General features: G+C 46.6%; 1 protein-coding gene across 2 annotated transcripts in view; it reads left to right on the plus strand.

The window, feature by feature from the left end:
* The window catches only part of RAB33A (RAB33A, member RAS oncogene family), a 74,248-nt gene extending 69,275 nt beyond the window's left edge, over positions 1-4,973 (plus strand). For both annotated transcript variants that reach the window (XM_017029963.3, NM_004794.3), the window contains one exon: positions 4,388-4,973. In XM_017029963.3, the coding sequence (XP_016885452.1) occupies positions 4,388-4,843 (456 nt within the window). In that variant the 3' untranslated portion in view covers positions 4,844-4,973. The remainder of the gene's footprint in view (positions 1-4,387) is intronic.

The following is a 16,713-nucleotide window of genomic DNA, read 5'->3' on the forward strand; positions in this document are numbered from 1 at the left end:
GAGACAATTAGAAAACATAAATCTATTCAAAATGGTATGATGCAGACTCAAAGTGCAACAGAGATTCCTAAGAAAAGAGAATTGAAGGGAAGTTGGCGAAGGTTTGAGGAAGAAGCCTGAGGCGTGAGCTTAACCTTGAAGAATGGGTGAGATTTGGATAGGGCAATGAGGGGGCAGCTGATTCTATAGGGGAGGAGTGGACTAGCATGACCCAAAGTACAGAGGAGGGAATCAACCAGGTGTAGCTGAGTAGTTTGAAACCAGGTTGGGAAGGGTCAAATTATGGCAGACAGAATTCCACATGTGGAATCCATGTGATGCCACATACAGTAGAGGGCTGCAGTCGTTTCCTGAAGAGGTGAATGGCATGCTGATACAAGCAGGGATTGACTAAAGCTAGTCAGAAAGCCAGTATTCAGAGATCGGGCACTGGGGCTCACGCCTGTAATCCCAGCACTTTCAGGGGCTGAGGCAGGTGGATCGGCAGTGATTGGGCCTCCCAACATGCTGGGATTACAGGAGTGAGCCACTATACTCAGACTCCAATTTATTTTTATTTATTTATTTTTTATTTTGAGATGGAGTTTAGCTCTGTTGCCCAGGCTGGAGTGCTGTGGCACCATCTCGGCTCACTGCAAGCTCCGTCTTCCGGGCTCATGCCATTCTCTGGCCTCAGCCTCCCGAGTAGCTGGGACTACAGGCACCTGCCACCACACCCAGCTAATTTTTTTATATTTTTTGGTAGAGACGGGGTTTAACTGTGTTAGCCAGTATGGTCTCGATCTCCTGATCTCGTGATCCGCCCGCCTCAGCCTCCCAAAATGCTGGGATTACAGGCGTGAGCCACTGCGCCCTGGCCTCCAATTTATTTTTAAGTTCACTTTTTTGTTACCTAAGGTCAGGAGTTTGAGACCAGCCTGGCCAACACGGCAAAACCCCATCTCTACTAAAAATACAAAAATTAGCCAGGCGCAGTGGCACACGCCTGTTATCCCAGCTACTTGGGAGGCTGAGGCAGGAGAATCGCTTGAACCTGGGAGGTGGAGGTTGCAGTGAGCTGAGATTGCACCACTGCACTCCAGCCTGGGCAACAGAGCAACAGTCCATCTCAAAAAAAAAAAAAAAAAAAAAAAAAAAGCAAGCAAGCGAGCAGTGTTCAGGAGACCCTGCAATGGAAACATCCACAATCCAAAATACTTTGCTCTAGTCCAGGAGTGAGGAGAGGAGAGGCTGGCCGAGGGCCGAGGGACACAGAAATCAGAATAGAAGAAGGGTTCAATCTGAAGGTCTTGCCAGAGGAACTTGGAAGCTGTGTCAATAGAGGGAGATGACGGGGAGCCTGGACAATGAAAACTGATATTCGGAATGATGACTCTAGGGCCCTGTAAAATCTTCACTCAGCCGACAGATTCAATTATATTTACTAGATTATACTTACTGACTGCTAACTCCAAATAAAGGCTATACTTCGTTTTAAGAGCCATAGCAGTCAATTAGTGGCCATAATCAAATTTTCTTTGATAACTGAGAATTGTATAGGGCCTTGGGACCATCATTCTGAGCATGAATCTCCCTTGTCCAAGACGTTGGATATATAAAGGGAAATAGATTGGGCTGAATGTATATCTCCTGGGAGTTATGTCTTTGCATATGTTACAGATAGCAGCTTTTTCTTCATAATTTGGCCTTTATCCCAAAAGCTGAGATACAGAAGAAAAATCCAGTGAATTAAGTTCCTTTTACATAACCAAAAAGTGAACTTAAAAATAAATTGGAGGCTGGGCATGGTGGCTCACGCCTGTAATCCCAGCACTTTGGGAGGCTCGATCATTTGAGGTCAGGAATTCAAGACTAGCCTGGCCAACATGGTGAAACCCCATCTCTACTAAAAATACAAAAATTAGCTGGGCATGGTGGCGCACGACTGTAATCCCAGCTCCTCAGAAGGCTGAAGTGGTAGAATCTCTTGAACCCAGGATGTGGAGGTTGCAGTGAGCTGAGATCACACCACTGCACTCCAGCCTGGGCGACAGAACAAGACTCTCATCTCAAAATAATAAATAAATAAATAAATAGGGCTTGAAGGTGAGATTTTAATACTAACTTTGTTTTCTTTAAAAAGTTATTCAGGCTAGTGGCTCATGCCTGTAATCCCAGCACATTTTGAGGCCGAGGCAGGAGGATTGCTTGAGGCCAAGAGTTCGAGACTAGCCTAGGCAACATAACAAGATTCTGTCTCTACAAAAAAAAAAAAAAAAAAATATATATATATATATATATATATACACATATATATAACATATATACACACAATATATATAACATATATATGTAATATATATAACATATACACTATATATAACATATATGTAATATATATAACATATATATGCATACTTGTAGAAGAAAATATGGAAAAATATTTAAAAAGAAGAAAATAAATATCACTATAGTCTCATTGCTGATAAATAACCATTAATGTTCTGATGTGTACACTTCCAGTCTGTGCTTTGCATATGTTTATGTTTAACGTTTCTTAAAAAAAACTGGGACCATAGCATATGAAAACTTTTGAGGCTGGGCGTGGTGGCTCATGCCTGTAATCCCAGCTCTTTGGGAAGCCGAGGCAGGCGGATCACCTGAGATCGGGAGTTCAAGACCAGCCTGACCAACATGGAGAAACTCCGTCTCTACTAAAAATATAAAATTAGCCGGGCGTGGTGGCACATGCCTGTAATGCCAGCTACTCAGGAGTCTGAGGTGGGAGAATTGCTTGAACCCAGGTGGCAGAGGTTGCAGTGAGCCGAGATCGTGCCATTTCACTCTAGCCTGGGCAACAGGAACGAAATTCTGTCTCAAAAAAAAAATAAAAGAAAAGAAAAAAGAAAAATTCTGTATTCTGCATTTTCACTTACTTGTATTTTGTGAGCGTTTCTCTTACAATTTAGTCTTTGAAAACATTATTTTTAATGGCTGCATAATATCCCACTGTACGGATATATTTTCATTTTTGTTTATTCTTTTTGAGACGGAGTCTCACTGTGTTGCCCAGGCTGAAGTGCAGTGGCCCGATCTCGGCTTACTGCAACCACCGCCTCCCGGGTTCAAGCAATTCTTGTGTCTCAGCCTCCCGAGTAGCTGGGACTATAGGTACACACCACCAGGCCTGGCTAATTTTTTTTGTATTTCTAGTAGAGATGGGATTTCACCATGTTGGCCAGGCTGGTCTCGAACTCCTGACCTCAGATGATCCACCTGCCTCAGCCTCCCAAAGTGCTGGGATTACAGGCATGAGCCACTGTACCTGACCCCACTGTATAGACATGAACTTTAGCTATTCCTTTTCTGATGAGCATTTAGGTTTTTCCTGTTTTAAAAAAATTCTCAGTGGCTCAAGCCAGTAATCCCAGCACTTTGGGAGGCTGAGGCAGGCGGATCACGAGGTGAGGAGATCGAGACCATCCTGGCTAACACAGTGAAACCCCATCTCTACTAAAAATACAAAAAATTATCCAGGCGTGGTGGCGGGCACCTGTGGTCCCAGCTACTTGGGAGGCTGAGGCAGGAGAATGGCGTGAACCTGGGAGGCGGAGCTTGCAGTGAGCCGAGATGGCGCCACTGCACCCCAGCCTGGGTGACAGAGCGAGACACGGTCTCAAAAAAAAAAATTCTAAATAACACTGTAAGATATTAGTACAGAATTTTGACCACATCCCTATTTCTTTTGTATAGATTTCTGGAAGTGAGATTTCAGGTCCTAAGAGTTATGAACATTTTTGAGGTTCTTGATAATATTGCCAAATTGCTCTCCAGAAAAGTTGACCAATTTACATCCAGTTTTTCAACTAAAAATCTTAAGATTTTTTTCAACTCAAGATTTTCAGTTAACAATCTTAAGAAAAACTTGACAAATCCTGAAACTTCTCTTTATGCTTTGATAAGTCCATTCTGCTCATCTGTCAAAGAACCACTTCCTGTGTCACGGCTTGTCACTTTTTTTATTTTTTTTGAAATGGAGTTTTGCTCTTTTTGCCCAGGCTGGAGTGCAATGGCGTGATCTCGGCTCACTGCAACCTCCGACTCCCTGGTTCAAGCAATTCTCTTGCCTCAGCCTCCCCCGTAGCTGGGATTACAGGCATGCACCACCATGCCCGGCTAATTTTGTATTTTTAGTAGAGTTGAGGTTTCTCCATGTTGGTCAGGCTGGTCTCAAATTCCTGACCTCAGGTGATCTGCCCGCCTCAGCTTCCCAAAGTGCTGGGATTATAGGCGTGAGCCACCGCACCCGTCCTGTCACTTCATTTTTATAGTGCTACAGAACCATGTTTTCTCCTCTCTGTTCATGTTCCCTTTTCTGACTCCACCTTTGGGTTTTTGTATCTTCCAGGTTCAGGTGTGGGACACAGCAGGTCAGGAACGTTTCCGCAAAAGCATGGTCGAGCATTACTACCGCAACGTACATGCCGTGGTCTTCGTCTATGACGTCACCAAGATGACATCTTTCACCAACCTCAAAATGTGGATCCAAGAATGCAATGGGCATGCTGTGCCCCCACTAGTCCCCAAAGTGCTTGTGGGCAACAAGTGTGACTTGAGGGAACAGATCCAGGTGCCCTCCAACTTAGCCCTGAAATTTGCTGATGCCCACAACATGCTCTTGTTTGAGACATCGGCCAAGGACCCCAAAGAGAGCCAGAACGTGGAGTCGATTTTCATGTGCTTGGCTTGCCGATTGAAGGCCCAGAAATCCCTGCTGTATCGTGATGCTGAGAGGCAGCAGGGGAAGGTGCAGAAACTGGAGTTCCCACAGGAAGCTAACAGTAAAACTTCCTGTCCTTGTTGAAACCAAACGATATAAATACAAGATAAATTATCACTGGAGTTTTTTCTTTCCCTTTTTTCTGTGCCTGCATAATGCTGACACCTGCTTGTTTCCATACAAATTGATATCAAAATAAAATTTGTATAGATTATCACATGGCTTTTTGTCTTGCTTTCCTCCAAGACATTCCTGATTGTGATGAGCAGAACAGGCAGTTTGCCCTACTAGAGTGATATTCTCCATGCCAGTGGCACACTCCCTACCAGCTTTCTAGGCTCTCTGAAATTCTCATCGTTTGAGTCACTTCTTCAGGACTAATTCATTCTCTCACTCAGTGTAATCAGTGGGCAGAAACACCCGGTGGGGTTGGGACACAGGCCAGATATGTTTTTCTAGAGAGCAAGTGCAGGTGGAGTGATAGAGAAGTCTTGAAAGGAGATGTGGACTCATCAGTATTTCCTAGGTTCCCTAGATATGTGCCTTGAATGTCCAGATAGACTACTCTCTCCCTATTTTCCAGTTTAAAAGTAAAAAGTATGGCCGGACGCAGTGGCTCACGCCTGTAATACCAAGACTTTGGGAAGCTGAGGCAGGCAGGTCACTTGAGGTCAGGAGTTAGAGACCAGCCTGGCCAACATGGCGAAAACCTGTCTCTACTAATAATACAAAAATTAGCCAGGCATGGTGGCACATGCCTGTAATCCCAGCTACTCGAGGGCTGAGGCAGGAGAATCACTTGAACCTGGGAGGCGGAGGTTGCAGTGAGCCAAGATTGTGCCACTGTGCTCCAGCCTGGGTGACAGAGTGAAACTGTGTCAAAAAAAAAAAAAAAAAAGGAGAGTTGGTCCAGTGGGCCCAATTACTTCCAGAATAGTTAGATTCTGCTTCCCATTTTTCACCAATCAGTCTTGAACCCTAAGGCTGTTCCGACTGTGACCCCCACCCCCATTCTTTCTTGGATGGGCAGGGCTCAAGCAACAAATATCTATCATGTCCCCAGACCTTTGCTAGGTGCTAGGGAAGAAATGTTACAAGAGGACACATTCTCTATGTTCAGAGACCCTATGATCTATTTGCAGGAACGATGTACACACTGAAAGTACGTGCAAACAAAAACTAGACAACAACATCACCAAGTGTGAGGTTGTGCCATGGGAAGTGAGAGCATTATGTATTCAATATCAGGGAGGGCTCATAGGAAAATACTTAGATTTGTTTTGTTTGTTAAATAATGTGTAAGGTTTAGATTGGTAAAGGAGAGGGAAGCGGGCAAAATCAGGGCAAAATCAGGGGGGCAGGAATGACCTTGGAAGTTGGAAGAGAGGACAACTGGGGGTCTGGCCCAAGGAGAGCTGAGCAGTGCTAACAGGAGCCGAGGTTGGGAAGGGCTTGTGCATCAGGCAGAACAGTTTGGAGACTTTTTTTTTTTTCTGAGACAGAGTCTCGCTCTGTTGCCCAGACTGGAGTGCAGTGGTGCGATCTCAGCTCACTGTAACCTCCACCTCCCGGGTTCAAACAATTCTCCCTGCCTCAGCCTCCTGAGTAGCTGTGATTACAGGCACCTGCCACCACGCCCAGCTAATGTTTGTATTTTTTAGTAGAGACAGGGTTTCACCACGTTGGCCAGGCTGGTCTCAACTCCTGGCCTCAGGTGATTTGCCTGCCTCTGCCTTCCAAAGTGCTGAGATTACAGGCGTGAGCCACCGCACCGAGCTCGGACTTACTTTCTGAGCCAATGAGAGCTCTTGGTAGTTTTCCAGCAGGAGAGTCCTATAGTTATTTCTCATACATCTGGTCTTATTATTGATACGAAAGCTCCTTGTCCAATTGTGAAAGTAACTAAAAGTGGCTAGTAAAGGCTTGTCTACAATAGCTCCAGGTGGATTTCTTTGCATGAAAGATGGTGTGCTCCTTTAGGGGTCTCTCTTGTTGGAATCCCGCTGTGAGGGGGTCTCGGGAAGACAGCTCTTGAACACTTTCCTCTGTTAGGCATATGGAGCTCTGCTCCTAGACAGCGAAGGGTAACACACACCAGATGTTCTTCCCACCCAAATAAAGAGCTTGTCTAGTCCTGCCTGGCTCATCCTTGCAGCCCTCTCCACCCCATCCCATCCCCCTCTGGCCTCAGACTCAGTTCAGCCCCCAGTGGCCTCAGACTCAGTCCAGCCCCCAGTCTGGTTCTCGTCACTTGACTTTTGCCTGGATCTCAGTCTTTGGAATCTGCCTAGCACTCCAGTTAGAGCTGCTTTTCTTACTAGTTGTCCCCATCCAACTCCCAGCCCCAGAATCTCCCCCAAAGGGCTGGGCTCCCACTGTCTGTGGATGAGCTGTGTGCTGGAAGCCTGGTTGCTATACCTCTCCCAGATGGAACATCCCACGACCTTGTCTCACACTCCAGACACTGACTCCTTGCTCAGGACACAACCTGTTGTTGTGTCGCCTTTTGGTTGCCGTCACCTGGCTTGCAGACCTAGGCTACTGCTCAGTTACTACAAGTGCATTTGTCTGTCCTAATGGGTGCATTTCAGTTTGGGTCCAGGCCCCTCTTGGTCAGGCCTCTTTCTTCAGTTACAGGGGCCAAGGATGACAACATTCCTAGTGTTATGAGCCCTCTAACCAGGATTGCCTCTGACAACTTCTAGGCTTCTAGGCTTTCTTTCCTCCCCTCCCCTCCCCTCCCCTCTCCTCCTCTTTCTTTCTTTCATTCTTTTTTCCTTCCTTCCTTCCTTCCTTCCTTCCTTCCTTCCTTCCTTCCTTCCTTCCTTTCTTTCTTTCTTATTTTTTTTTGACAGAGTTTCACTCTCGTCGCCCAGGCTGGAGTGCAATGGCACAATCTTGGCTCACTGCAACCTCCACTCCCGGATTCAAGCAATTCTCCTGCCTGAGCCTCCCGAGTAGCTGGGATTACAGGTGCCCACCACCATGCCCAGCTAATTTTTGTATTTTTCTAGAGACGGGGTTTCACCATGTTGGCCAGGCTGGTCTCAAACTCCTGACCTCAGGTGATCTGCCCACCTCGGCCTCCCAAAGTACTGGGATTACAGTCATGAGTCACTGCGCCTGGCCACCTCCTAGGCTTTTAACAAACATTCACTGAGAGCCCACTATGTGCCACTGTTCTGAATCCTGGGGTTACATACATGAACAAAGTCCTGCTCTCCTAAAGGAGACAGACACTAAACAAGAAATGAGGACCCTACATAAGCTCATTTGAGAGAGTGATAAGGACTCTGGGAGCCACAAAACAGGGTAAATGAATTGAAGGTGACAGACGTGGGGGAGGGTAACATATTGCTGGAGTGGCACAAAAGACATCTTTGAAGAGATGCCACTTGAGCTGAGAACTGAATGAAGAAAAGCAACCAGGGACAGGTGCAATGACTCATGCCTGTAATCTCAGAGCTTTGGGGGGCCAAGATGGGAGGATTGCTTGAGCCCAGGAGTTCAAGACCAGGCTGGGCAATATGGTGAGACCCTGTCTCTAGAAAAAAAAAATTAAAATTAGCCCAGTGCAATGTTGCGTACCTGTAGTTCCAGCTACTCGGAAGGTTGAGGTGGGAGGAACCCTTGAGCTGGGAATGTGAAGGCTCCAGTGAGCCAAGATCGCACTAGTGCCCTCCAGCCTGGGTGAGAGAGTGAGATTCTGTCTCAGAAAAAAAAAAAAAAGAAATAAAGAAAAGAAAAAGGGAGAAGAGAACCCCAAGCAGCAGAAACAGCAAATGTCAAGATCCAGAGGCAGGTGGTGTGACATTGGCGTGTTTGAGGGACAGAAAGGGGGCTACTATGGAGATGGCTGGAATAGAGCAAGCAAAGGAGAGAGTGGCAAGAAATAGGTAAGGCCAGGTCTATGGGGGCGCTATGGGCCATGACTGGGAGTTTTCTTTTCTTTTCCTATTTTATTTTATTATTATTATTATTATTTTTATTTGAGATGGAGTCTCACTCTGTTGCCCAGGCTGGAGTGCAGTGGCACAGTCTCAGCTCACTACAACCTCTGTGTCCCAGGTTCAAGTGATTCTCCCGCCTCAGCCTCCTGAGCAGCTGGGATTACAAGTGTACCACCACACCCAGCTAATTTTTGTATTTTTGGTAGAGACGAGGTTTCACCATGTTGGCCAGGCTCAAACTCCTGACCTCAAGTGAGGCCTTGGCCTCCCAAAGTGCTGGGATTACAGGCGTGAGCCACCATGCCCAGCCTCCTATTTTATGTTTTTGAGACAGGATCTCACTCTGTCGCCCAGGCTGGAGTGCAGTGGCACGATCTTGGCTCACTGCAGCCTCGACCTCTCAACCCAGGCAACTCCCCCCTTCCACCTCCCGAGTAGCTGGGCCTACAGGCATGTACCACCATGCCCAGATAATTTATTTTTAGTTTTTGTGGAGATGGTGTTTCTCTATGTTGTTCAGTTCGGTCTCAAATAGCTAGTGAGATCTCTTTTGCAGCCCCAGAACTGAATGATGGCAACAGCACGGTTGTATGATGGTGCTCAGGCCTCCCTCAGATTGAGGGATAGAATATGGGAATAGGCTTGACCCACAGCATACCCAGTAGAAGGGGACCCAGGAGGCCAGAGAACCATGAGACTCTTGTTTCTGTGAGGTTGGTGAGGAGTGGAGGGATTCAAAGGAAGGACAGTGCCTCCAGCATCATTTGGCATTACTGTGTCTCTGGAACTATTCATGTTGGTCCCTGCCTTTCTTCTATGGCTCCCCTTCACTATCTAGATCTGTACCTTTGGGACTTTGCCTGTGCTACAGACAAAGAACCTGGAGAAATAATTACTAACATTTGAATGCTTATAATGCACCGGGCACCGCGCTGAAACACTTTACATTCATTCACTAGCTCATTTAATGCTCCTTCAACCTTATGGAGTGGGATAATGATTTCCATTTATTTATTTGTTTGTTTGTTTATTTATTTATGTTTTGAGACGGAGTCTCACTCTGTCGCCCAGGCTAGAGTGCAGTGGCATGATCTCAGCTCACCGCAACCTCCGCCTCCAGGGTTCAAGTGATTCTCCTGCCTCAGCCTCCCGAGTACCTGGGATTACAGGTGCACACCACCACGCCCAGCTAATTTTTGTCTTTGCTTTTTTTTTTAGTAGACACGGCGTTTCACTATGTTGGTCAGGCTGGTCTCAAACTCCTGACCTTGTGATCTGCCCACCTCAGCCTCCCAAAGTGCTGGGATTACAGGTGTGAGCCACCACGCCCAGCCTCCATTTTAATTTTTTATTATTTACTTTTAGTGACAGGGTCTTGCTGTGTTGCCCAAGCTATAGTGCAGTGGTGTGATGACGGCCCACTGCAACCTCAAACTCCTAGGCTCAAGCGATCCTCTTGTCTCAGCCTCCTGAGTCGCTAGGACCACAAGTGTGTGCCACCACACTTGGCTAATTAAGAAAAAGTTTTGGCTGGGTGTGGTAGCTCACGTCTGTAATCCCAGCACTTTGGGAGGCCGAGGCGGACAGATCACCTGAGGTCTGGAGTTTGAGACCAGCCTGGCCAACACGGGAAAACCTCATCTCTATTAAAAATACAAAAATTAGCTGGGTGCGGTGGCACGCGCCTGTAGTCCCAGCTACCCGGAAAGCTGAGGCAGGAGAATAGCTTGAACCCAGGAGGCGGAGGTTGCAGTGAGCTGAGATGGCATCACTGTACTCCAGCCTGGGTGACAGAGCAAGACTCTGTCTCAAATAAAAAAAAAAAAAAAGAGAAAATGGTTTTTGTATAGAGATGGGGTCTTGCTGTGTTGCCCAAACTGGTCTTGTACCCCTGGGCTCAAGTGATCCTCCTGCCTTGGCCTCCCAAAGTGTTGGGATTACAAGAGTGAGCCACCATGCCTGGCTGATTTCCATTGTATGAACAAGAACATGGATGCACTGAGACTTAGTGACTTGTCCAATGTAGTAAGCGATGAACGGGGATCTGTCTCACGTCAAGTCTAGGCTCTTTCTATGATATTACACTGTCTTTCTAGCCAGTTCCCAGCTCTGGGACTCTTGTAGGGATGCCAGGTTTACCCCAGCCAGTTTCCCTGACCCATGGGGGCCTGGCCAGCAGGACATTCACTACCCAGGAGGCCCGTCTAGGACATTCCTCCCTGAATCAGATGCCGCAGACTGGATACCTCCAGGAAGCCCAGTGGGTTGACACTTATGTCAACTCTGGGCCAAAGGAGTCTCCGGGATGTCCTTGCCTTGGGCAGAAGCTGGGGACCACACAGCCAGCTGACTCTGCTGCCCTGCCTTTGGGGCTACAGCATCTTGCCACTGGGCCCCCCAAACTATCCTTTCCCTCAATACCTGCTCATTTGCTCAGGCCCCCGGATCCAGCCTGGGGACTGTCTTGCCAGGGTCCTTCCATCAGAGAGCCCAGGACCAGATGCTGCTCTGAGCACCACCACCTAGAGTAGTGCCAGGGAAGGATGCCCAGCCCAGAATAGCTGGAGCAGCCCCCACCCCTTGAGGGAAGCTGACTCAGCCCACCCTCAGTGCGTGCTGGGGGCAGAGGAGGGCACACAGATGTGCTGAGAGATCCCTGGAAAGCAAGGCTCAGCTTCTTCTGCAACTGTCACCAGCAGATGCAGAGAGAGGTCAGTATTTATCCTCTTGTAACACCTGAGGGGACATAATTCTTCCTTACCTTAAAGAGGCCCCTCCTTTATACAGCATCCCTCATTGCCTCACTGGAAGGGGCCTTGCTCCCTAAGGGCCTCCCTAGTCTCCTGAACCACTTCCAAGTCCCTTGAAAATCCCAGCATGATTCAAGTGGCACAGCCACATGAGTTAAAACCTTGTTCTGGGCCGGGTGCAGAGGCCGAGGTGGGTGGATCACCTGAGGTCAGGAGTTCGAGACAAGCCTGGCCAACATGGCGAAATCCTGTCTCTGCTAAAAATACAAAATTAGCCAGGCGTAGTGGTGCATGCCTGTAGTCCCAGCTACTCGGGAGGCTGAGGCAGGAGAATTACTTGAACCAGGGAGACAGAGGTTGCAGTGAGCCAAGATCACACCACTACACTTCAGCCTGGGCAACAGAGCAAGACTCCATCTCAAAAACAAAAACAAAAAACAAAAAACAAAAAATCCTTGTTCTGATTCCAAGTCCCCTTGACTTCTATGCCCCTAAGAGGCTGTGCTGGGGCAGGAGGACTGAGACAGGTTCCCAGAGATTCCCCTAGATTAGTGGTTCCCAAATGCCAGTTCACAGCTAACAGCATGAAACCAGTGAGGGACTTGTTAAAGTACAGACTCCTGGGGCCACAGCCCCCAACACTCTGGTCAGGCAGATCTTGGGGGCAGGCCCAGGAATTAATTTGTATTGTTAGAATGTCCACAGCTGATTCTGATGTGCCTCTAGGTCTGGGGTGGGGGTGGGGTGGGGACGGGGTCATTACCCCTAGGCTTCCTAGTGAGCCCTAAAATCAGAAATGACTTTTCCTGAGCCAGAGCTTCAAAACCAGCTGTATGAACCCCAGGGCGATCTGGGTAACCAGGGAACTCAGCCTGATAAAGTGGATCTTTTCAGGCCCTAAACTTAGGGTAAGTGAAACGGTTCCAGTTATACCCAACGTCCTTGGGTTGTTTCCTTGAAACTAGGAAGCAAGAGCCTCTTATCTATAAGAGACAACCAAAGATTAATCCCGAGTATAACCTGAGTATCAACCACTCTGGACACAAGGCTCAAGATGAGAGTGAGAAAAAATAGATTACATGTCTGCCGCGCGCCTCCTGCTGGTAAGACTAATTAGTGAAGGCAGGAGGCAGGAAAGTTTATCAGTTTTTTTCTGACCAGTACTGACCATTTCCCGGGATGGACGCTCAAACAGAAGGCGCTAATCCTGGTCCCAATCTGTGCATTTAGACACCTGGAACTAGAGGGGTTACTCATAAAAGGGAATGGGCTGGGAGTGCCCTGCAGCTACCTCTGCCAAATCACTAGGGCTTAACTCTCCTAAGGGGAGTCTGTGAAACCTACTAGACTGGTAGAAGGGAGGGACAGAGAGGAGACATTGAGAAACACCTCACCTGCCCAGGGAGACAGATTTTGAAGCTGGGTAGGTAGGCAGTCCTGGTAGTCTTTTTTTTTTTTTTTTGAGACGGAGTCTCCCTCTGTCGCCCAGGCTGGAGTGCAGTGGCGCAATCTTGGCTCACTGCAAGCTCCGCCTCCTGGGTACACGCTGTTCTCCTGCCTCAGCCTCCCAAGTAGTTGGGACTACAGGTGCCTGCCACCACGCCCGGCTAATTTTTTGTATTTTTAGTAGAGATGGGGTTTCACCGTGTTGGCCAGGATGGTCTCGATCTCCTGACCTCGTGATCTGCCCACCTTGGCCTCCCAAAGTGCTGGGATTACAGGTGTGAGCCACCGCGCCTGGCCAGTGGTCTCTCTTAAAGACTACCAGGATTGGCCGGGCGCGGTGGCTCACGCCTGTAATCCCAGCACTTTGGGAGGCCAAGGTGGGTGGATCGCAAGGTCAGGAGATGGAGACCAGCCTGGCCAACACGGTGAAACCCCTGTCTCTACTAAAAATACAAAAATTAGCTGGGTGTGGTGGCGTGCACCCATAATCCTAGCTACTCAGGAGGCTGAGGTGGGAGAATTGCTTGAACCCGGGAGGCAGGGGTTGCAGTGAGCTGAGATCTCGCCACTGAGATCACGCCACTGCACTCCAGCCTGGGCGACAGAGCAAGACTCCGTCTCAGAAAAACAAACAAACCCACCAGAGGGCATAGAGAGAGGCCCCTAAGCCATGATGTAGTTGAACTAGAATGAGAAATGGACCTCATAACCTGATTTGAATCTATAGGTGGTACTTAATCCCTTCCCCATCGATAAAGTAGGTACTGTGACCCTCTGAATTTAATCTTAAAGTACTGGAGAAAGTTTCAGGTACAAGCATAAATAAAAAACCTGGGCCAGGCACGGTGGCTCACACCTGTAATCCAGCACTTTGGGAGGCTGAGGCGGGTGGGTCACCTGAGATTGGGAGTTTGAGACCAGCCTGGCCAACATGGTGAAACCCCATCTCTACTAAAAATACAAAAAATTAGCTGGGCCTCGTGGCCCTTGCCTGTAATCCCAGCTACTTGGGAGGCTGAGGCAGGAGAATCGCTTGAACCTGGGAGGCAGAGGTTGCAATGAGCCAAGATAGCGCCATTGCACTCCAGCCTGGGCGACAGAGTGAGACTCCGTTTCAAAACAAAACAAAACAAAACAAAACAAAACAAAACAAAACAGGCTGACCTAACCCCTACTCACCAATTCCAGGTAGAAACCCTGGCACCTCAGATAAAGGAGAGGTACCCCAGGCATTGTTGTTCTCCCTGTCTATTTAGGGAGATCACCAAATGAGAAGGATGATATCAGACCACATCTAGTTTTCAGTCTCGATGCTTCCAACCGAAATAATGACAATTATTAATAGCAGCTAACATTTATCGAGTGCTGTGTACTACTAAGTACAATGTTATATGCTTAATGTGGACCGTCATGCTTAATCCTCACATCACAATTACCCTCTGAGGTACAGAATGATCAAAGCTTCCTGCCGAAGGCCACATGACTGCAAGTGTTGGAGCAGACTAGAACTGAATGGTCTGAACCACAATGTTAATTTCCCTTATCTTTCTCTATTTCTCTCAACCCTGAGAGGAGGATGTGCTCCTGGGCCTGAAGTTAATGGTCCCATCTCTGCTTCATTTAGGATTAACTAGTAGATTAGATGGGAGTTGATGTTAGATGCCAGATATTATTTTATTGAAATTCAAGAAAATCCTGTAAAAATGATTTTCAATTCCATTTTGCAGAGGTGGAAACTGAGGTAATTTGTCATTCAGAAAATAAATGGTTATCAGGAAGTACTGACCTGTTCACATTATAGAGCACCATTTTCCTTGCCCTGGTTTTAATCAAATCAGAGCATTTTCTTTAATGGAAGGTCTGTACTATTCAAAGCTGACTTTTGATCTGTCGACAAGTAAACAATCCTTATCCGGAGATCGACAACTTCATTCCCTTCATTCTTAGCTGAATTCATTCTTAGGTCAGGCTTGGGCCCAGAACGTGGGGGTAAGGGTTGAGCAGGCTCCTGAGGAACAAATCATCCTCCCAGGAGGGGAGGGCAAGGCAGGGGGATGGAAAGTCTAGGAACGGATGGGCCAGCTTGAACAACTGAAACTTTTAAAAAAGAGGTATTTTAGAGGAGCTTCCTGCACCATTTGAAGGATGGGAAGAAATGACCTCCAAGGTCCTTTTCAGTTCTCCATTCCTCTGAACAACAAAAATAGTGATTGTGCACTGGTTTCTATGGCCATATGCATGTTAAGACAGCTATGAAGAGAACGAAGTTTTAGGTCTCTAGATAAGGATTGTTTACTTGTCAACAGATCAGAAGTCAGCTTCGAATAGTATAGACCTTTCAGTAAAGAAAGAAGGGAAGAGGGATTAAAACCAGAGCAGGAAAAATGGTGCTCTATAGTATGAACAAGCCAGTACTTCCTGATAACCATTTATTTTCAGAATGATGTTACCTCAGTTTCTGCATTTGCATAATGGAATCGAAAATCACCTTTATGGTATTTCCTTGAATTTAGATAAAATATAAAATGTATTTTATGCATAAACATTTGTGTATTATTCCTTATCCAATTCCCCTGACATAAAGGACACTTGTAAAGAATGAAAATGGAAGATCATTCATGTAGCGCCCAATCATTCAGTTTTAAAAATGAAGCTGTGCTGAATATGTCCTTCTTTTAAATTATTCAAAACTGAGGTAACTTGACCGCAAAGCCACTTGGAAGTTACCAAGAGAACTAAATCAACTGTTTGAAATTACTTCAAATTGTGGCCTTTAAGGATTTGACTCAATCAATAAGACAACTTGTTAAGTAGCTGAGTTTTCCAAGCTTGGGGTATCTACTAATTTATCAAGGATTCTTATGTTCTGAGGCACTGAAGATTTGCTAGATAGAAATACCCTCTTCTGTTATTTTATCAAGAAAAACACTTACACAACTTAACACTTTCCTTCGATTCTATGTTATGATAATCTAGTTAGGAGAACATACTGGAGAAGATAGACGAGGGGGAAAAATGGAGATAAGGGGAAAACAGAAAAGGACGATTTCAAGATTGAGTGAAAATATCCCTACTCTCTGAGAAAGTAAGGTATTTCTCAATCATTTTAAAAGTCCTACAAAAGGAAAGAACACTTTACTACTGCTATTTAAAATTACATGTTTTTGGCCAGGAACGGTGGCTCACGCCTGTAATCCTAGCACTTTGGGAAGCTGAGGCGGGTGGATCACCTGAGGTCAGGAGTTCGAGACCAGCCTGACCAACATGGGGAAACCCCGTCTCCACTAAAAATACAAAAAAAATTAGCTGGGCGTGATGGCGGGTGCCTGTAATCCCAGCTACTCAGGAGGTTGCGGCAGGAGACTCGCATGAACCCGGGAGGCAGAGGTTGCAGTGAGCCGAGATCGTGCCACTGCACTCCAGCCTGGGTGACAGAGCAACACCCTGTCTCAAAAAAAAAAAAAAAAAAGAAAAAAAAATTACGTTTTCATATAATTAATTGTATTGAATAAGTACCCAAGATTTCATTGATTCAAGATTCCTTTATTTCTGGAAGTGAATTACTGGTAATAATGAATAAAGAAGTTTCTTTTAAAGAAGGGGTTCTTTAGCACAAAAGGAATGCTTCCCTCCAGAGCAGACAGGATTCCGTAGTAGTTTTCAATAAGGCAGTGTCATTTCGTAGTCCTTAGACAGAAAAAGCCAGAGCTACGCTCATTTCCGACATTAGAGAATTATGCCACATGTAATTGAAGCACTGTGATAAGATGTCATCCACCCGACAGTTTGAAGGAATGTACTTCAAGAC

Source organism: Homo sapiens, chromosome X (assembly GCF_000001405.40).
Source record: "Homo sapiens chromosome X, GRCh38.p14 Primary Assembly".
Taxonomy (NCBI): Eukaryota; Metazoa; Chordata; class Mammalia; order Primates; family Hominidae; genus Homo; species Homo sapiens.